This window comes from Homo sapiens, chromosome 16, assembly GCF_000001405.40.
Source record: "Homo sapiens chromosome 16, GRCh38.p14 Primary Assembly".
Lineage (NCBI taxonomy): Eukaryota > Metazoa > Chordata > Mammalia > Primates > Hominidae > Homo > Homo sapiens.
The window spans coordinates 10,405,980-10,429,276 of record NC_000016.10 but is presented as its reverse complement, the minus strand read 5'-3'; the positions used below and the strand labels follow the sequence as shown (position 1 = coordinate 10,429,276).

Sequence of the window (23,297 nt, the reverse complement as noted above, 5' to 3'; positions counted from 1 at the left end):
TACAATTCTATTTTTCCTATAGGACTGTGTATTATATGATTGTCTCTTCATGAATACAATTTTTGTATTATTTTCCAAAGAAAATGAACAAATCAAATCTTTCCTCTAGCATGGTTTTATGATGTATTTGCTAAAAGTGATAATCATGATGCATAAAATTAGCAGCTTTGCCTGAAGACACTGCTACAGTTTTGTGTCCTACAAATAAAAACATTCTTATATTATTTTAAAGGGAGAATTCAACCAGGTGTGGCACATACCTGTGGTCTCAGCTATTCAGGAGGCTGATGCAAAAGGTTCACTTGAGCCCAGGAATTAGACACTGCCGTGATCTGTGATTGCACCACTGCACTCCAGCAAGGGTGACAGAGTGAGACCGTGTCTCAAAGAAAAAAAAAAAGCAGGATTCCTATCAAAAAAAGAAAATAAATATATGGTGAATTTATAATTGAATGTGCTATGTTATTTTTGACAGGAGAAAAGTGCTGTTTTGACTGGAAATTGATGAGAACGAAATCCTACACTTAAAATTTTAAACATCAGATAATTGGGAATTTTTTCCTGATTACCTTCTGGTTCCATAATTTGCACTTTGGCTTCTCTAATACTCACATATTACAGGTGCCAGGCACCAGAGACCACATTCCCAACACAATCAGGCTGACAGGCTATAATTACCTACATCCAGAAATGACTCTGAATCACAAACACATCCCACTAAACACAAATAAATCCCCCAATCACAAAATGCCTGAAACCACTCTACTGCCAGCTGACACAAAGAAGAAATCAAGGTGAAGAGAGACAGGGGTCTTAAATGACTATACTTAAAATATCTTACTATTGTAAATCTGATGAAAACATCCAACCACGTGAACATATTGTTACTATGGCCCTTCTAAGGGCCTTTGGAAAAGGCCCAAATTAGTAAAACGTGCTGAAATTTAAGCTCTGGAGTAAAAAAATGCCTCTACATTTGATGCATACAAAAGACTTGTAATATGTGTTAATTACAAAGTATAATAAAGTGAACATCTTTGAAACACCTGCAACAAATAAGTAGAATACTATCAGTAACCTGCATTTACTTATGTTTCTCCAAACTATGCCCCTTGCACCTCTTCTCCATCCTGATGATGTATCCTAAACTTAGTTTATAATTCTATTACTTTTTCTACAGTTTCATCATAAATGTCATATGTAAACAAATATACTGTTTAATTTTGTTGTTGAGCAAACTATAGCTAATACTTGTTTTTTCAGTTATGTATATGTACAAAATTCATCCATGTGCTTACGTATAGCAATAATTCGTGTTCTTCTTTGCACTGTAATAATTCTTTGGGTAGATATACCAAAATTTGTTTATCTGATCATTTGTGAAAGATCTTTGGGTCACCTCCAGTTCCTTTTTTTTTTTTTTTGAGACAGGGTCTTGCTGCTCTGTTACCCAGGCTGGAGTGCAGCATGGCTCATGGCAGCTTCAGCCTCCCAGGCTCAAGCTATCCTCCCACCTCAGCCTCCTAAGAGGCTGGGATTACAGGCATGCACCACCACAACTGGCTAATTTGTAAAAAAAATTCTGTGGATATTGGGTCTTACTATGTTGCCCACGCTAGTCTGAAACTCCTGGGCTGAAGTGATCCTCATGCCTTAGCCTCCCAAAGTGCTGGGATTACATTTCCAGTTCTTGTTGATGTTCTGACACAACAATGCTATTCTGATTATTTCTGTCTCAAGGGGCTTATGTGTAAGCATTTCCTGAGTGAATTTCTAGATACTGAAAAGGTATCCATGTTCAACTTTTCAAGAAAACCAAATTATTTCCTGGAGCAGTTTTACCAGTTTGCATCCATACAGTCAATACGTAAGAGTTACCACTGAGCCACATCCTCTTGAACCCTTGGTATTGCCAGATTTGATTTTAGCCAATCTACTTGGATAAAGAATTAGCTCTCATTGTCTTAATTTGGGTTTCCCTAATTACTATCATCTTTTCCTATGTTTATTAGCTATGTTTACTTGTCTGTAAAAATTCCTGGTTATTTCCTGCTCATGACTTCTTGGGGTGTCTTTCCTCTTTCATTTTCAAAGCATACTTAACATATTATAAACCATATTCCGGCCAGGTGCAGTGGCTCAAGCCTGTAATCCCAGCACTCTGGAAGGCTGAGGCGAACGGATCACCTGAGGCCAGGAGTTCGAGACCACCCTGGCCAAAAGGGTGAAACCCTGTCTGTACTAAAAACTACAAAAATTTGCTGGGTGTGGTGGCACACGTCTGTATTCCCGGCTACTTGGGAGGACAAGGTAAGAGAATCGCTTGAACCCGGGAGATGGAGGTTGCAGTGAGCCGAGATCACACCACTGTACTTCAGCCTGGACAACAGAGTGGGACACTGTCTTAAAAAAAAACAACAACAAAAAAAAACCAAAAACCAAAAACATATTCCTTGTCAATCCTTTGTTATATGAGTTACAGGTATCTTATTAGGCTCTTCCTAATTTTAATATAGTCAAGTTAAATAATTTTTTTTCTTTTATGGTTAAAGTTTGATCTCTCTTCCTTGTGACATCCTTCTCTACTCCATGTTGTGTGAAATAGTGAAGCCTACTGGTGGTAAAGAAGCCTTTCACTGATGTAAGTTATTTAAGGACACGGTGCTATACCATGGCTGTGCAATTATTACAATATATAGTAAGAATGCAGAGTGCCAGCTCAGAGTAAATTTGTTAAACTTCATGAAAAACATGAACTAAATGGTCATTAACATTACACACTTCATAACTGGTTAAACTTCCGGCTCTGAGGAGAGGTATTTCACCTGGAAAATGTCTGCATGAGAATGCTTAGGGGAGACAAGTAAAACTGCTGATAAAAGGTGCAAGTAAGTTAAATATTTCTAACTATATAGTTTGCCTATCATAGAACCCGTTCAGTGAAGTTGAATTCATTGCTGAGAATAAAAAGCCACCCAAACTAATTGGGGATCCCTACCAACACCAGAACTCCTCTCTTTAGCCAATTTGAATTATTTGCTGTCACATAAGCCACAACTCACAGATCTTTGAGATGGTAATACTGTCCTGTAACACATGCTGCAAAAGATGAAATTACATTTTCTCAAGTTTTAATTATATTTTCTCAAGTCATTTATAATTTAAGTCCTTAATCCATCTAGAATTTATTTTAGCACATAGAAAGAGGAAAGGACCTATTTTCATTTTTCCCTCAGATGCATAATTGCTTGGCTGTATCCTCACTGTTAACTTCATTTTGAAATAATAAAATTATCTAATCTGTACTTTTAATGTTTTATGATGATGTAAATCCCACTGAATATAATGTTGTCCATCCTTTACCTTTAACTTTTTTTTTTTTTGAGATGGAGTTTCACTCTTGTTGCCCAGGCTGGGGTGCAATGGCATGATCTCAGCTCATCGCAACCTCTGCCTCCCAGGTTCAAGTGATTCTCCTGCCTCAGCCTCACGAACAGCTGGGATTATAGGCGTGTGGCACCAGGCCTGGCTAATTTTGTATTTTTAATAGAGATGGGGTTCCTCAGTGTTGGTCAGGCTGGTCTCAAACTCCCAACCTCAGGTGATGTGCCCACCTCGGCCTCCCAAAGTGCTGGGATTACAGATGTGAGCCACCACACCCGGCCTACTTTTAACATTTTTGTATCAATTTATGTTTCCTGTAATACATAAATATTTTCACCTAATGAATTTGTCTTTCAACAGAATTTAATCCATTTAGTTATACATGCCATATTAAAGCCTTAATTTACATTATTTACATTATTGCTTCTATATTATTTAATATTAAGGTGTCATTAATTTTTTTTTTTAAGATCTGAATCTGCTTCACAATTGCATGGAATTGAATACCTTTAAAGATTTCCAGCTGGGCACAGTGGCTCACGCCTGTGTAATGCCAGCAGTTTAGGAGGCTGAGGCGGGTGGATCACTTGAGGTCAGGAGTTCAAGACCAGCCTGGCCAACGTGGTGAAACCCCGTTTCTACTAAAAGTACAAAAAAAAAAAAAAAACTAGCCAGGCATGGTGGTAGGCACCTGTAAACCCAGCTACTCAGGAGGCTGAGGTGGGATAATCGCTTGAACCCGGGAGGCAGAGGGTGCCGTGAGCCGAGATTGAGCCATTGCACGCTAGCCTGGTCAACAGGAGTGAAACTCTGTCTCAAAAAAAAAAAAAAAAAAAAATCTGATATAAACATTCATGTACAAGTTTTTATGTGGACATAATGTTTTCATGTTTCTTTGTTCTATATACCTAGCAGTAGAATTATTTGGTCATGTGGTAACTCTAGATTTAACCTTCTGAGGAACTACCAGACTGTTTCCCAAAATGGCCGGAACAACTTACATTCACACCAGCAGTGGATGAGAGTTCCAATTTTAACATCTTTTCACCAACACTTCTTATCTGTTTGTCTTAGTATAGTCATCCTGTTTCAACTGATGTAGTGCCTTATTGCCATTTTGATTTGTATTTACCTGACGGCTAATGATGTTGAGAATCTTTTCATGTACTTCTTGGAGGCTTGTGCATCTTCTTTGGATAAATGTCTATGCAGATTCTTTGAGAATTTAAAAACTGTGTTATTTGCGTTTTTATTACTGGCTTGTAAGAGTTCCTTATATATTTTAGATTAAGTCCCTTATAAGATACAATTTACAAACTTTCCCTCGCATTATATGGATTGTCTTTCCCATTCCTTGATGGTATGCTTTGAAAACAGTGTAAAATTTTCATAAAGCATAATTTCTAAAGATTTAAAAACACATTTACGTGTGTTTTTAGCAAGTATATCACAGCCTAATCCAAGGTCCTAAGAATTTTAAAGTTTTATAAGTGCTTATATTTAGGTTTTTGATCCATTTTCAGTTAAGTTTTGCTTATGGTGAGAGATAGGGGTCTGTTGGGAACAGGACCCCAAATCTAGCCATAAACAGACCCCAAAACTGGCCATAAACAAAATCTCTGCAGCAGTGTGACAGGCTCGTGATGGCTATGATGCCCACGCTGAAGGTTGTTGGTTTACCAGAATTAGGGCAAGGGAACACCTCGCCCACCCAGGGCAGAAAACCCCTTAAGGCATTCCAGAACTGCAAACAATAGCATGAGTGATCTGTGCCTTAAAGACATGTTCCTGCTGCAGATAACTAGCCAGAGCCCATCCTTTTGTTTCCCGATTTAAACTATAATCTATAGAAACAATGCTTATCACTGGCTTGCTATCAATAAATATGTGGGTAAAACTCTTCGTGGCTCTCAGCTATGAAGGCTATCAGCCCCGATTCCTGCTCCACACTCTATATTTCTATGCGTGTGCCGGAACAATGACTGGAGAACATGGAACTACGCTGGAGGACACCCGAGTACTCTTAAGCAATCCCTGTGGTAAGAAGGGGAGCTCGGAAGCATCAGGGTAACAATGGGACAAGTATGGGCTCTGGCTCGTTCCACCTTGGAACCTTTTCACACTGATGAGGAGGAGGAAGGAGGGTGTAATGAAGTAACATAAGAGGTAACAGAGCAGGTTTGTCGGCCAGCTAAAGCTAAAGTGGCAAAGGAGGGAGAGGTTTGTCCCTACCCTTCTGCACCCCCTCATTATTTTGAAGAAAAAGAGTGGCCTGACCCTCCAGATCTTTTTCCAGAGGACAGTGGGTGAAAAGTAGATGCCCCAGTAACTGTTTGGGCAGTGCCTTGAGCGACCGCTCTCAGTTCTTTTCAGGCAGGAATTCAGCAAGCTAGACGAGAGGGTGATATAGAGGCTTGGCAGTTCCCTGTCAGAATACACCACCCATATCAACAGGGAAATATCATAGCTACGTTTGAGCCTTTTCCTTTTAAAATACTTAAAGAATGTAAACAAGCTATAAATCATTATAGACCAGGTTCTCCTTTTGTAACAGGACTGTTCAAGAATGTTGCTGTCTCCAGCCAGATGATGCCAGCATTACTTCTAGGTAGGTCTAGTTTAAATAAATTTATTTATTTATTTATTTATTTGATGGAGTCTCACTCTGTCACCCAGGCTGGAGTGCAGTGGTGTGGTCTCGGCTCACTGCCAGCTCCGCCTCCCAGGCTCACGCCATTCTCCTGCCTCAGCCTCCTGAGTAGATGGGACTACAGGTGCCCGCCACCACGCCTGGCTAATTTTTTGTATTTTTAGTAGAGACGAAGTTCCACCATGTTAGCCAGGATGGTCTTGATCTCCTGACCTCGTGATCTGCCTGCCTCGGCCTCCCAAAGTGCTGGGATTACAGGCGTGAGCCACTGCACCTGGCCTCTAGTTTAAATTTAAAAGGAATGCAAGTACATACAGGAGTCATTAATTCAGATTACAATGGGGAAATTCAAATTGCAGTATCTACTTCTGTTCCCTGGAAAGCAGAGCCAGGAGCGTGTATAGCGCAGCTCCTGATTGTGCCATATGTGGAAATGGGGAAAAGTGAAACTAAACGAACAGGAGGATTTGGAAGCACAAATAAACAAGGCAAAGCAGCTTATTGGGGGAATCAAATTACTGATAAATGTCCTATCTGTGAAATAACTGTTCAGGGAAAGAAATTTAAAAGTTTGGTAGATACAGGAACAGACATTTCATTCATTTCTCTACAGCACTGGCTGTCCTCATGGCCAATTCAACCTGCTCAATTTAACATAGCTGAAGTTCGTAAAGCCCCTGAAGTATATCAAAATAGTTATATCTTGCATTGTGAAGGGCCTGATGGGACAACCTGGGACTATTCAACCAATTGTAACTTCTATACCTATAAATTTATGGGGGAGAGATTTATTACAACAATGAGGAGAACAAGTTCTAATTCCAGAGCAATTATACAGCCCTCAAAGTCAACATATGATGCATGAAACGGGGTATGTCCCTGGTATGGGGCTAGGAAAAAATTTGCAAAGTTTGAAGGAACTGCTTCAAGTGGAAAGACAAAGTCCCGCCAAGGTTTAGGATATCATTTTTGATGGTGGCCATTGTTAAGCCTCCAGAACCTATACCTTTAAAATGGTTAACAGATAAGCCAATTTGGATAGAACAATGGCTGCTGAGCAAAGAGAAACTGGAGGCTTTAGAGGACTTAGTTACTGAACAATTAGAAAAAGGACACATAGCTCCAACATTTTCCCCTTGGAATTCTCCAGTTTTCGTAATTAAGACAAAATCAGGTAAATGGATAATGTTAACTGACTTAAGGGCCATTAATTCAGTTATACAACCTATGGGGGCATTGCAGCCAGGACTGCCTTCTCCTGCTATGATTCTGAAAAATTGGCCTTTAATAGTCATAGATTTAAAAGACTGTTTCTTTACTAACCCCTTAGCTGAGCAAGACTGTGAATGGCTTGTATTTACAATTCCTGCGGTAAACAACCTGCAGCCTGCTAAGCATTTTCACTGGAAAGTGTTGCCACAAGGCATGCTAAACAGTCCAACAATTTGCCAGACGTATGTAGGGCAAGCAATTGAATCTACTCGTAAAAAATGTCCACAGTGTTACATTATTCATCATATGGATGATATACTTTGTGCTGCCCCACTAGAGAATTATTACTCCAATCTTATGATCACTTGCAAATTTTGATTTCTTGTGCTGGTTTAATCATAGCTCCTGACAAAATTCAGACTACTACTCCTTACTCCTACTTGGGGACCTTAGTAAATGATACTACCATTGTGCCACAGAAAGCAACCATACGTAGGGATCAATTGAAAACATTAAGTGACTTTCAAAAATTACTAGGGGACATAAATTGGATACAACCTGCTGTAGGCATTCCTACCTATGCCACGAGTGATCTATTTTCTATCCTTAGAGGAGATCCTAGTCGCAATAGCCCTCAGCAATTAACAAAGGAGGTGGAGGCAGAGTTCCAGCTAATTGAGAAGCAAGTGCATAAGGCTCAAATAAGTAGAAAAGATCCAGAGAAGACTCTAGATTTCTAATTTTTTTCAACTCAGATTCACCTACTGGTGTTATTGTTCAAGAGCAAGATCTTGTACAGTGGCTTTTCTTCCACATACTAATTCACGGACTCTAACTCCTTATTTAGATCAAATTGCTACTGTGATAGGAAATCAGAGAACTCAGATTGTTAAATTACATGGATATGATCCTGGAAAAATTGTCCCTCTCACAAAGGCACAAATACAGCAAGCTTTTATAAATAGTCTTACTTGGCAAACTCATTTAGCTGACTTTGTGGATATTCTCAATAACCATTTTCCTAAAACAAAACTGTTTCAATTTTTGAAATTAACTAATTGGATTCTCCCTAAAATAACTAAATTTTAACCAACTGAAGGTGCTGAAAATGTCTTCACAGGTGGGTCTAGTAATGGTAAAGCTTCTTATTCTGGCTTGAAAGGTAAAGTATTTCAGATGCCCTATACTTCAGCTCAAAAAGCAGAGCTTGTAGCTGTAATTGAGGTATTGACTGCCTTCGATATGCCTATTAATGTGATTTCTGATTCTTCATAGGTGGTTCATTCCACACAATTAATTGAAAATGCTCAGTTACGATTTCACACAGATGAACAACTGATTATTTTCCCAATTGCAAACAGCAGTTAGGAGTAGAATGCACCCTTTTACATCATTTACATTAGGACTCACACACCTCTTCCAGGACCTTGGACTGCAGGGAATCAAATGGCTGATCACCTAGTTGCTACTGCAGTATCTAAGACAGACACTTTCACAATTTAACCCATGTTAATGCCTCTGGTCTCAAACGCAGGTATAGCATTACCTGGAAAGAAGCTAAAGCTATTATCCAGCGATGCCCAACTTGCCAAATGGTGCATTCCTCATCTTTTATAGGAGGAGTTAATCCTCGCAGATTAGAACCTAATTCTCTTTGGCAAATGGATGTCACCCATGTTCCCTCGTTTGGGAGACTAGCTTATGTTCATGTATGTGTAGATACCTTTTCTCATTTTGTCTGGGCTACATGCCAATCAGGACAGTCTTCTGCCTGTGTTAAACATCATCTTTTGCAGTATTTTGCGGTGATGGGCATTCCAGCATCTATTAAAATGGACAATGCCCCAGGCTATATATACTAACCAAGCTCTAGCTACATTTTTCTCTGTATGGAATATTAAACACATTACTGGCATCCCATGTAATTCTCAAGGACAACCCATTGTGGAATGAATGAATCTCTCCCCGAAACAGCCGTTGCAAAAGCAAAAGGAGGGAAACAGAGACTACAGGACATCATGAATATGCAACTGAATCTAGCATTACTGACTTTACATTTTTTGAGCCTGCCTAAAGGCCAGATGCTATCAGCAGCTGAACAGCATCTACAGAAACCAGCTGCAAAGGCAGAAGCAGAACAACTGGTTTGGTGGAGAGATGCAATAACAAAAATTGGGAAACAGGTAAAATAATAATTTGGGGTAGAGGTTATGCTTGTGTTTTGCCAGGACTGAATCAACAGCCAATTTGGGTGCCACTGAGATACCTAAAGCCTTACTATGAGCCAGATACTCCGGAAGAGGTTTTGGGAGGATTCCAAACACACACCAGTTGCAGCCATGTTGAGACTGACACTGAGGAGGACCCCAACTGTCACGAGCAACACCTGTCGAATGCAGCCACCTACCTGGGGACAGATCAAGAAGCTGTCACAGACGGCGGAAGAAAACCTGAGGAAAGCGGAACAACCAATCACAATGAGTAATTTAATGATAGCTATGATAGCAGTGATCACCATTGCCATGAGTATTCCTTTAGCAAGGGCTGACACAGAGAACAATTATACTTATTGGGTATATTTACCTTTTCCACCACTTCTATGGCCTGTAACTTGGCTGGACCCCCCAGTGGAGGTATACACTAATGATAGCTCTTGGATGCTCGGTCCTACAGATAATAGAGGCCCGTCTCACCCACATGAGGAAGGAACTGTTAGGAATATTTCTTTAGGATTTGAACATTCACCTATCTGTTTGGGAAAGGTCACCAGTTGCCTACCCCCTCACTATCAATCTTGGCTGGCAATAATGCCTGGATGTAATCATTCTATGACACAGTTACACATGCTTTCTGGTCTCACTATTTACCATAATAAATCTGCTCCTATAATTGAGGCATACTGCCATCAAAAACCTGTTTGTAAACAGAATTGGACCTGGCCCGAAAAAATGAACGTACTTGTTTGGGAAGATTGCACTGCAGAACAGGCAGAGGTGCTGCGCAACGATTCCCATGGAATCATTATTGATTGGTCCCCTAAGGGGATGTTTAGCACAAATTGTACCTCTCAGTCTGCGTGCCATGGCCACACTATGTTCAGTTGGTCTGAACAAAACGGTCAGATGGTAGAAATGGTAAGAAGTATGGCAAGAGTTCCTATTATCTGGAAACACGGCAGTATAGTGGCACCTCAACCTCAAATGATATGGCCCGCTCTAGGAGCTAAACATAAGGATTTGTGGAAACTATTAACGGCTCTTAATAAGATCAAAATTTGGGACAGAATAAAAAAGCATCTAGAAGGGCACTCTACAAACTTGTCGTTGGACATTGCAAAATTAAAAGAACAAATATTTAAAGCATCCCAGGCACACCTGACCTTAATGCCAGGAACTGGAGTGCTTGAAGGAGCTGCAGACAGATTAGCAGCTATTAACCCATTAAAATGGATAAAAACACTTGGAGGCTCTGTGATTTCAATGATGATTGCACTTTTAATCTGTGTTGTCTTTGTATAGTCTGCAGATGTGGATCCTGACTCCTGCAAGAAGTAGCTCACCGTGATAAAGCCGCCTTTGCTTCTATCGTCTTGCAAAAACAAAAAAGGGGGACATGTTGGGAACAGGCCCCCAAATCTGGCCATCAACAGGCCCCAAAACTGGCCATAAACAAAATCTCTGCAGCAGTGTGACATGCTTGTGATAGCTATGATGCCCACGCTGAAGGTTGTTGGTTTACCAGAATGAGGGCAAGGAACACCTGGCCCACCTGGGGTGGAAAACCGCTTAAGGCGTTCCTGAACCACAAACAATAGCATGAGTGTCTGTGCCTTAAGGACATATACCTGCTGCAGATAACTAGCCAGAGCCCATCCCTTTGTTTCCCATTTTAGTTAATCTATACTCTATAGAAACAATGCTTACCACTGGCTTGCTGTCAATGAATATGTGGGTAAAACTCTGTTTGTGGCTTTCAGCTTTGAAGGCTGTCAGCCCCCTGATTCCCACTCCGCACTCTATATTTCTGTGTGTGTGTCTTTAATTCCTCTAGTGCCACTGGGTTAGGGTCTCCACGACCGACGTGGACATCCAATTGTTCCAGCACAATTTTAAAACACCATTACTTACCTTTTTTATGACACCCTCATAAAAAACAAATTGACTTTAAATGAGAAGGTGTATTTCTGGGTTCACGATTCTATTCCATTTGTGTATAGGTCTGTACCACATTATCTTGATTACTGTCATTTGTGAGAAGTTTGGAATTCAGGATGTGTTAAGTCCTCCAACTTTGTTATTCTTGGAGAAGACTGTTTTGGCTATTGTGGGTCCCTTGAATTTCCATATAAATTTTAGGACCAGATTATCAATTTCTGTCTAGTATGAGTGTGGTGTTGTTCCCTACCATTATTGTTCAGCTATCTATCTCTTTCTTTAACTATAGTAATATTTAATGAATCTGGGTGGCCCAGTGTTCAGTGCATGCATATTTAGGATTGTTATATCCTCTTGTTGAATTGATCCCTTTATCATTAAATAATGATCATGTTTGTCTTTCTTTACTGCTTTTGATTTAAAGCTAATTGTATGTGAGATATGTCTAGCTGCTCCTGCTCAATTTTGGTTTCCATTGCACAGAATATCTTTTTCTACCCCTTCAACTTGAGTCTAAATGTGTCTTACCATGTAAGACACATTTCTGGTAAGCAGCATATACGTGGTTGATGGGTTTTGAAAATCCATTCCATCAACCTCTCTTTTCAGTGGAGCATTTCATCCATTCAGGTTCCATGTTAATATTAATATGAGAGGTTTTGATCCTGTCACATTATCGATTATTACCTAGTTGTTGTATAAATTCTTTCCTTGTTTTCCTCGTCTTTGTGGTATAATGGAATTACACTGTGTTGCCATTTGATTCCTTTCTCTTCCTTTATGTGATTGTTTTATATGACCTCTGATTCTTATACTTTCATGAGGTTTCATTTCCAGTTTTAATTTGTAACTTCTGTGCGTACATAAGATAATTTGATACAGAAATGCAATGCATAATAATCACATTGGTAAATGGGGTATCTATCCCCTGAAGCATTTATCCTTTGTGTTACAAACAATCCAATTATAGTCTTAGTTATTTTTAAATGTATAACTAAATTATTGATGACTATAGTCACCCAGTTGTGCAATTAAATACTAGGTTAACTAGGTCTTAATTCATTCTAACTACTTTTTTTTGAGACAGAGTCTTGCTCTGTTGCCCAGGCTGGAGTGCAGTGGTGTGATCTTGGCTCAATGCAACCTCCGCCTACTGGGTTCATGTGATTCTGCTGCCTCTGCCTCCTGAGTAGCAGGGATTACAGGTGCCCATCACTACCACACCAGGCTAACTTTTGTGTTTTTTAGTAGAGAGGCAGTTTCGCCATGTTGGCCAGGCTGGTCTTGAACTCCTGGCCTCAGGTGATCCACCTGCCTCGGCCTCCCAAAGTGCTAGGATTACAGGTGTAAGCCACTGTGCCTGGCCCATTCTAACTACTTTTTATACCCATTAACCACCCCCACCTTCTTCCCCAACACAAAATACCTTTCCCAGCCTATGGTAACCATCCTTCTATTCTCACCACAAATTCAAATGTTTTAATTTTTAGCTCCCACAAATAAGTGAGAACATAAGTGTGCCTTTCTGTGCCTGGCTTATTTCACTGAAGATAATGACCTCTAGAGCCATCCACATTGTTGCAAATGACAGATCTCATTCTTTTGCATGGCTGAATAGTATTCTATTGTGTATATGTACCACATTTTCTTTATCCATTTATCTGCTGATGAGCACTTAGGTTGCTTCCAAATCTTGGCTATTGTGAACAGTGCTGCAACAAACATGGAATTGCAGATATCCCTTTGATATACTGATTTCCTTTCATTTGGGTATATATTCAGCACCTGGATCGCTGGATTGCATGGTAGCTCTATTTTTAGTTTTTTAAGGAACCTCCAAACTGGTCTCCATACTGGTTGTACAAATTTACATCCCCACCAACAATGTACAAGGATTCCCTTTCTACACATCCTCACCTGCATTTCATATTACCTGTCTTTTGAATAAGAGCTATTTTAAATGAGGTGTGATATCTCACTGTAGCTTTGATTTGCATTTTGTTGATGATCAATGACATTAGGTAGCTATTCACATGCCTGTTTTCCATTTGTATCTCTCCTTTTGAGAAATGTCTATTCAGGTATTACCATTGTATAATTGGATTATTAGATTCTTTCCTACAGAGTCGTATGAGCTTCTTATATTCTGGTTATTAATGCCATGTCAAACATGTAGTTTACAAATATTTTCTCCCATTCTGTGCCTTGTCTCTTTACTTTGTAGATTGTTTCCTTTGCTGTGCAGAAGCTTAACTTGAAGTGATCCAATTTGTCCATTTTTCATTTGATTACCAAGGCTTATGAAAATTCTTTTGCCCAGAACAATGTCCTAGAGAGTTTCCCCAATGATTTCTTCTAGCAGTTTCATAGTTTGGGGTCTTAGATTTAAGCAATCCATTTTGCCTTTTTATATATAGTGAGAGATAACAGATCTAATTTCATTCTTCTGTATGTGAATAGCCAGTTTTCCCAGCACCATTTATTGAAGAGACTGTCTTCTCGCAAATGTTTGTTCTTGACATCTTTGTCAAACATGAGTTCACCCGCTGTAGGTATATGGATTTGTTTCCGGGATATCTATTCTGTTCTACTGTTTGGTCTGTTTTTATGCTAGTACCATGCTGTTTTAGTTACTATAGCTCTGCAGTATAACTTCAAGTAAGGTAATGTGATTCCTTCAGTTTTCTTCCTTTTGTTCAGAATAGTGTTGGCTATTCTCAGTCTTCTGTGGTTCCATATTAATTTTAGGATTGTTTTCTCTATTTCTGTGAAGAATGTCATCGATGCTTTGATAGGGACTGCACTGAATCTGCAGACTGCTTTAAGCAGTATGAACATTTTAACAATATCGATTTTTCTAATCCACAAACATGAAGTATCTTTTAATTTTTTTGTGTCCTCTTCAATTTCTTTCATCAGTGTTTTACAGTCTTCATTGTAGGTATCTTTCACATCTTCGGTTAGTTACTAGGTATTTAATTTTAAAGAGAGATAACAATCACTACAGCTCAGCTCTCAGAAAGCCACATTCCTAGGAAAAGGGGAAGAGTACTGCATCAAGGGAACATCCCGTGGGACAAAAGAATCTGAACAACAGTCTTGATCCCTAAACCTTTCCTCTGACAGAGCCTACCCAAATGGGAAGGAACCAGAAAACCAACTCTGGTAATATGACAAAACAAGGTTCCTTAACATCCCCCACCCCCCCGCCCAAACACACACACACACACACACACACACACACACACAATCACACTAGCTCACCAGCAGTGGATCCAAACCAAGAAGAAATCCCTGATTTACCTGAAAAAGAATTCAGACGGTCAGTTATTAAGCTAATCAAGGAGGCACCAGAGAAAGGTGAAGCCTAATTTAAGGAAATCAAAAAAATCATACAAGAAATAAGGGGAGAAATCTTCAGTGAAATAGATAGCATAAATAAAAAACAATCAAAACTTCAGGAAATAATGGACACATTTATAGAAATGCAAAATGCTCTAGAAAGTCTCAGCAACAAAACTGACCAAGCAGAAGAGAACTTTAGAGCTTGACAAGGCTTTTTAATTAATCCAACAAAGACAAAGAAAAAAGAATAAGAAAATATGAACAAAGCCTCCAAGAAGTCTGAGATTATGTTAAACAACCAAACCTAAGAATAATCAGCATTCCTGAGGAAGAAGAGAAAGCGAAAAGTTTAGAAAACGTATTTGGGAGAATAGTCAAGGAAAACTTCCCGGGCCTTGTTAAAAACCTAGATATCCAAATACAGTAAGCTCAAAGAACACCTGGGAAATTCACTGCAAAAAGAGCATCACCTAGGCACACTGGCATCAGATTATCTAAAGTTAAGATGAAGGAAAGAATCTTATCAGCTACAAGGCAAAAGCACCAGGTAATCTATAAAGGAAAACCTATCTTATGAGCTGTAAGGCAAAAGCATCAGGTAATCTATAAAGGAAAACCTATCACATAAACAGCAGATTTCTCGGCAAACCCTCCTAGCTTGAAGGATTTGGGGCCCTATCTTCAGCCTGCTTAACAAAACAATTATCAGCTAAGAGTTTTGTATCCAGTGAAACTAAGCTTCATAAATTAAGGAAACATACAGTCTTTTTCAGACAAACAAATGATGAGTGAATTCATCACTACCAAGCTAACACTGTAAAAACTGCTATAAGGAGCTCTAAATCTTGAAACAAATCTCGGAAACACATCAAAACAGAACCTCTTTAAAGCATAAATCTCATAGGACCTATAAAGCAAAAATACAATAAACAAACAAACAAAAAACCAAGGTATAAAGGCAACAAACAGCATGATGAACAGAATAGTACCTCACAACTAAACACTAACTGTATTAGTCCATTTTCATGCTGGTGATAAAGACATACCTGAGATTGGGAAGAAAAAGAGGTTTAATTGGACTTACAGTTCCACATGGCTGGGGATGTCTCAGAACCATGGCGGGAGGCAAAATGCACTTCTGACATGGCAGTGGCAAGAGAAAAATGAGGAAGCAGCAAAAGCGGAAACCCCTGATAAACCCATCAAATCTCATGAGACTTATTCACTATCACGAGAATAGCATGAGAAAGACTGGTCCCCATGTTTCAATTACCTCCCCCTGGGTCCCTCCCACAACACATAGAAATTCTGGGAGATACAATGCAAGTTGAGATTTGAGTACGGACACAGCCAAACCATATCATTAACATTAAATGTAAATGGCCTAAATGCTCCACTTAAAAGACATGAATTTGCAGAATGGATACGAATTCACAAACCAACTATCTCCTGCCTTGAAGAGACTCACCTAACACATAAGGGCTCACATAAGCTTAAGGTAAAGGGGTGGAAAAAGACATTCTATGCAAATGAATATCAAAAGCAAGCAGGAGTAGCTATTCTTATATCAGATAAAACAAACTTTAAAGCAACAGCACTTAAAAAAGACAAAGAGGGACATTATATAATGATAAAAAGCATTATCCAACAGAAAAATATCACAATCCTAAATATATAAGTACCTAACACTGGAGTTCCCAAACTGATAAAACTTAAGAAATGAGATAGACAGCAACACAATAATAGTGGGGGACTTCAACTCCACTGACAGCACTAGGCAGGTCATTAAGACAGAAAGTCAACAAAGAAATAATGGATTTAAACTATACCCTGAAACAAATGGACTCAACAGATATTTACAGAACATTCTACCCAACAACTGCAGAATATACATTCTATTCATTACACATGGAACTTTCTCCAAGGTAGATCATATCATAGGCTACAAAACAAGCCTCAATAAATTTAATAAAATTGAAATTATATCAAGCACTCTCTCAGACCATAGTGGAAAAAAACTGGAAATCAACTCCAAAAGGAAACTTCAAAACCATGCAAACACATAGAAATTAAATAACCTGCTCCTGAATGATCACTGGGTCAACAATGAAATCAAGATGGAAATTAAAAAGTTCTTCAAACTGAATGACAATAGAGATACAACCTATAAAACTTCTGGGATATAGCAAAGGCGGGGCTAGGAGGAAAGTTCATAGCCCTAAATGCCTAAATCAAAAAGTCTGAAAGAGCACAAACAGACAATCTAAGGTCACACCTCAAGGAAATACAGAAACAAGAACAAACCAAACCCAAACACAGCACAAGAAAGAATATAACTAAGATCAGAGCAGAGCTAAATGAAATTGAAACAAAAAAAAAAATACAAAAGATAAATGAGATGAGTTAATGGGTGCAGCAAACCAACATGTCACATGTATACCTATGTAACAAACCTGTACCTTGTGCACATGTACCCTAGAACTTAAAAGTGTAAAAAAAAAAAAAAAAAAAAAAAAAAAAACAAAAAAAGATAAATGAAACAAAAAGCTGGGTCTTTGAAAAGGTTAATAAAATTAATAGACCATTAGCAAGATTAACCAAGAAAAGCTGAGGAAAAAAAAAAAAACAAATAAGCTCAACTAGAAACAAAATGGGAGATAATACAACTGACACCACAGAAATATAAAAGATCATTCAAGGCTAATTCAACACCTTTATGCATATAAACTAGAAAACCTAGAGGAGATGGATAAATTCCCAGAAAGATATAACCCTCCTAGCTTAAATCAGGAAGAAGTAGATACCCTGAAAGACCAATAACATACAGTGAGATTGACATGGCAATTAAAAAATTGCCAACATAGGCCAGGCGCAGTGGCTCACACCTGTAATCCCAGCACTTTGAGAGACCAAGGTGGGTGGATCACCAGAGGTCAGGAGTTCAAACCAGCCTGGCCAACATGGTGAAACCACATCTCTACTAAAAATACAAAATCAGCCAGGAATGGTGGCACACGCCTGTAATCCCAGCTACTCTGGAGGCTGAGACAGGAGAACTGCTTGAGCCAAGACTGTGCCACTACACTTCAGCCTGGGTGACACAGCCAGACTCTGTCTCAAAAAAACAAAACAAAACAAAACAACAACAACAACAACAACAAAACACCAAAAAAAAAAAAACAAAAAGGCCCAGTACCAGACAGACTCACAGCTGAATCGTACCAGGCATTCAAAGAAAAATTGGTACCAATCCTGACTCTATTCCAAAAGATAGAGAAAGAGGGAATCCTCCCTAAATCATTCTATGAAGCCAGTATCACCCTAATACAAAAACCAGCAAAGGACATAATCAAAACAGGAAACTACAGACCAACATCCCTGATGAACTTAGATGCAAAAGTCCTTAACAAAATACTAGCTAACTGAACCAACAACATATCAAAAAGATAACCCACCATGATCAAGTGGGTTTCATACCAGAAATACAGGGGTGGTTTCACATATGCAATTCAATAAATGTGATACACCACATAACAAGAATTAAAAACAAAAATTATACAATTATCTCTAAATAAACACAGAAAAAGGATTCAACAAAATCCAGCATCCCTTTATGATTAAAACGTTCAGCAAAATTGGCATACAAAGGACATACCTCAATGTAATAAAAGCCATCTATGACAAATCCACAGCCAACATAATACTAAATGGGGAAAAGTTGAAAACATTTAAATCAGGAAGAAGCAGATATCCTGAAAGACCAATAACATACTGAGATTGACATGGCAATTAAAGAATTGCCAACATAGGCCAGGCGCAGTGGCCTCAGTTCCTCTGAGAAGTGAAACAAGACAAGGATGCCCACTCTTACCACTTCTCTTCCTAGCCAGAGCAATCAGAAAAGAGAAAGAAATAAAGGGCATCCAAATCGATAAAGAGGAAGTCAAACTGTCACTGTGTGCTGATGATGTGACTGTATACCTAGAAAACCCTAAAGAGTCCTCCAAAAAGCTCCCAAACTAACAAAAGAATTCAGCAAAGTTTCTGGATACAAAGTTACTATACACAAATCAGTAGCTCTCCTATACACCAGCAGCAACCAAGCTGAGAAACGTCCAGAACTCAACAACTTTTACAATAGCTGGGGGAAAACAAAACAAAACAAAAACAAAAACAAAACAAAACAAAACAAAACAAAACAAAACAAAACAAAACAAAACTTAGGAATATACCTAACCAAGGAGTCAAAAGACCTCTACAAGGAAAACTACAAAACACTGCTGATAGAAATCACAGATGATACAAACAAATGAAAACACATCCCGTGCTCACGGATGGGTAGAGACAATACTGTGAAAATGACCACACTGCCAAGAGCAATCTACAAATTCAATGCAATTCCCATCAAAATACCACCATCTTCTTCACAAAACTAGAAAAAAGAATCCTAAATTCATATGGAACCAAAAAAGAGCCTGTATAACCAAAGCAAGACTAAGCAAAAAGAACATATCTGGAGGCATCACATTACCTGACTTCAAACTACATTATAAGGCCATAGTCACCAAAACAGCATGCTACTGGTATAAAAATAGGCACAAAGACCAATGGAACAGGATACAGAACTGAGAAAATCAAATACTTACAGTCAACTGAGCTTTGACAAAGCAAACAAAAACATAAAGTGGGGAAAGGGCACTCTATTCAACACATGGTGTTGGGATAACTGGCAAGCCACATGTAGGAGAATGAAACTGGATCCTCATCTCTCACCTTAGACAAAAATCAACTCAAGATGGATCAAGGAGGCTGGGCATGGTGGCTCACGCCTGTAATCCCAGCACTTTGGGAGGCCCAGGCGGGCGGATCATGAGGTCAGGAGATCGAGATCGTCCTGGCTAACGCCGTGAAACCCTGTCTCTATTAAAATTCAAAAAATTAGCTGGGCGTGGTTGCAGGGGCCTGTAGTCTCAGCTACTTAGGAGGCTGAGGCAAGAGAATGGCTCATTAAAAAAAAAGTCTCAATAAAAAAAAAATGGATCAAGGATTTAAATCTAAGACCTGAAACTATAAAAATTCTAGAAGATAACATCAGAAAAACCCTTCTACATATAAGATATAATAAATTCCTCTTCAAAGGTTTAGCTTGTTAACTTCCTTATTCTTTGTTCTCAAACTCAACTTTCTTGTTCTCCATGCCTCCTTGCCCCTAATTAGTGTAAACAACCTTCCTATCAGTTCTAATCAATAACTCACATCTGTTCCCTTGGTTGCTAACTCTGCACCCATTCCACCCTTCGAAACCACACGTCCCACCACTGTAACTCACATCCCCCTTCCCTTCCTTATTTGGGAAAATATCCACAAATAGCCAATCAGGTCAACTTAGAATGTGCAGTCTGACCCGCCTACCCCCCGCCCATGGGAGATTGACACAGATGTAGGGGCCACATTAGGAATAACCCTTTCTCTCCTTTGTTCAGTGTGCTCTTGTGATCGTGAATGACATGAGCAGCACCCTTCTGCAGAAGTAAATTGCCTTGCTGGGAAAACTTTTGCCCGAGTGCTGGTTTCACTTTGCGAACCGAGCATTTATCTCCAACATAGACATTGACTTAGGCAAGGATTTCATGACCAAAAACCCAAAAGCAAATGCAACAAAAACAAAGATGAATAGGCAGGACTTAATTAAACTAAAGAGCTTCTGCACAGAAAAAGGAAGAGTCAGCAGAGTAAGCAGATAACCCACAGAGTGGGAGAAAATCTTTATAACCTATACATCCAACAAATGACTAATATCTAGAGTCTACAAGGCACTCAAACAAATTAGCAAGAAAAAAAACAAATAATCCCATCAAAAAGTGGGCTAACGAAATGAACAGGCAATTCTCAAAAGAAGATATACCAATGGCCAACAAACATATGAAAAAATGCTCATCACCACTAATGATCAGGGAAATGCAAATCAAAACCACAGTGCAATACCACCTTACTCCTGCAATGGCCATAATCAAAAAGTCAAAAAATAATAGATGTTGGTGTGGATGTGGTGTAAATGGAACACTTCTATGCTGCTGGTGGGAATGTAAACTAGCACAACCATCATGGAAAACAGTGTGGCGACTCCTTAAAGAACTAAAAGTAGAACTACCATTTGACCCGGCAATCCCACTATTGGGTATCCACCTAGAGGAAAAGTAGTCATTATACAAAAAAGACATTTGCAAAGGCTTATTTATAGCAGCACAATTCACAATTGCAGAAATATGGAACCAGCCCAAATGCCCATTAATCAACGAGTGCATAAAGAAATTGTGATATAAGCTGGGCATGGTGGCTCACATCTGCAATCCCAGCACTTTGGGAGGCCAAGGCAGGTGGATCGCGAGGTCAGGAAATCAAGATCATCCTGGCCAACATTGTGAAACCCCACCTCTACTAAAAATACAAAAATTAGCTAGGTATGGTGGCACATGCCTGTAGTCCCAACTACTTGGGAGGCTGAGGCTGGAGAATCGCTTGAACCCAGGAGGCAGAGGTTGCAGTGAACCAAGATCATGCCACTGCACTCCAGCCTGGTGAGAGAGCGAGACTCCGTCTAAAAAAAAAAAAAAGAAAGAAAGAAGTAACTCAAGAGTAGAAAACCAAACATTGCATGTTCTCACTCACAAGTAGGAGCTAAGCTATGAGAATGTAAAGGCCTAAGAATGATACAATGAACTATGGGGACTCAGGGGAAAGGGTGATGAGGGATAAAAGACCACAAATTGGGTTCAGTGTATAGTGCTCGGGTGATGGGTGCACCAAAATCTCACAAATCACCACTAAAGAACTTATGTAACCGAGTAACACCTGTTCCTGAATAACCTACAGAAATAAAAAATTTTAAAAATAATCTTATTTGTCAATATTATAAATGAGACTATTTTGATTTCCTTTACATATCATTCACTGTTAGCATATAGAAATGGTACTGAATTTTGTACGGTGATTTTGTATACTGCAACTATACTCAATTTATCAGTATTACTAGTTTTGGTGTATTGTTTAGGATTTTCCAAATATAAGATCTTATCATCTGTAAATAAGGACAATTTGACTTCTTCCTTCCCAATTTGCATGCCCCTTATTTCTCCTCTGATTCGCCTAGCTAGGACTTATAGTACTATGTTCAGTAACTGTGGTGAAAACGGGCAGCCTTGTTGTGTTCCAGATCTTAAACCAAAGGTTTGTAGTTCTTTTGTAGATTTTCCCCATTCAGGATGATACTAACTGTGGTCTGTCATATACGGCTTTTATTACGTTGAGATACATTCCTTCTATACCCAGTTTCTTGAGGGTTTTTATCATGTAGGGAAGTTGAATGTTATCAAATGCATTTTCAGCATCAAATGAAATGACCATATTTTTGTCCTTCATTTTGTTGATATAATGTATCACATTGATAGCTAGCACATGTTGAAGCCAGGTGAAATCCTACTTAGTCATGATTAATAATCTTCTTCATGCACTGTTAAATTCAGTTTTCTACCATTTTGCTGATTTTTACATCAATACTCATATTGGTCTGTAATTTTATTTATTTTTATGTGTCTGTTTGGTTTTGGTATTGGGTAACCTCATGGAATGAGTTTGGAAGTATTACCTCCTCATCTATTTTTCAAAATGATTTCAGTAGGATTGGTATTACTTCTTTAAATGTTCAGTAGAATTCAGCAGTGAAGCAATTAGGGCACAGGCTTTTCTTTGCTGGGCAATGTTTTATTACGGCTTTTATGTCATTACTTTTTACTGGTCTGTTCAGGTTTTTGATTTCTTAATGGTTCAATCTTTGTAGGTTGTATGTGCCTAGGAATGGATCCATTTCCTCTAGATTTTCCAATTTATTGGCCTACAAAGTTGCTCATAGTAGCCACAAAGGATGCTTCGAATTTCTGAGGTGTTCTTTTTCATAGTCTGCATAAATGTTTGCTTTATATTTAAAAAAACTAACTTTTCATTTCATTGATCTTTTGTTTCTTCTGCAATGATCTTTATTACTTCTTTTCTTCTACTACTTTTGTGTTTGCTTTGCTCTTGCTTTTCTAGTTCTTTAAGATGCATCATTAGGTTAATTATTTTAGGTTGGCTGGGCACAGTGGTTCACGCCTGTAATCCCAGCACTTTGGAAGGCTGAGGCAAGTGGACAGCTTGAGCCCAGGAGATCAAGACCAGCCCAAGCAACGTGGCAAAACCCCATCTCTACAAAATATAAAAAATTAGTTAAGGGTGGTGGTGCACACCTGTAGTCCCAGCTACTCGAGAGGCTGAGATGGCAGGATTGCTTGATCCTGTGGAGGTCGAGGCTGTGGTGAGCCGTGATTGCACCACTGCACTCCAGCCTGAGTGACAGAGTAAAATATTCTATGAAAAAAATTATTTGAAGCTTTTCTTTTTTTTTTTTGAGACAGATTCTCACTCTGTCGCCCAGGCTGGAGTGCAGTGGCACGATCTCAGCTCACTGCAACCTCCACCTCCTGGGTTCAAGCAATTCTCCTGCTTCAGCCTCCTGA

General features: G+C 39.1%; 1 protein-coding gene across 12 annotated transcripts in view; it reads right to left on the bottom strand.

Annotated features, from left to right (window-relative positions):
• Positions 1-23,297, bottom strand: part of ATF7IP2 (activating transcription factor 7 interacting protein 2) — a 97,578-nt gene that overhangs the window by 54,362 nt on the left and 19,919 nt on the right. For 6 of the 12 annotated variants that reach the window (NR_045815.3, NR_045816.3, XR_007064920.1 and 3 more), the window contains one exon: positions 261-409. The gene's annotated coding sequence lies outside the window, so the exon portion shown is untranslated. Of the gene's footprint in view, positions 1-260; positions 14,432-14,664; positions 18,035-23,297 lie in introns of those variants that run through there. The other 6 variants (NR_147927.2, NM_001352120.2, NM_001256160.3 and 3 more) reach the window with 4 other exon arrangements.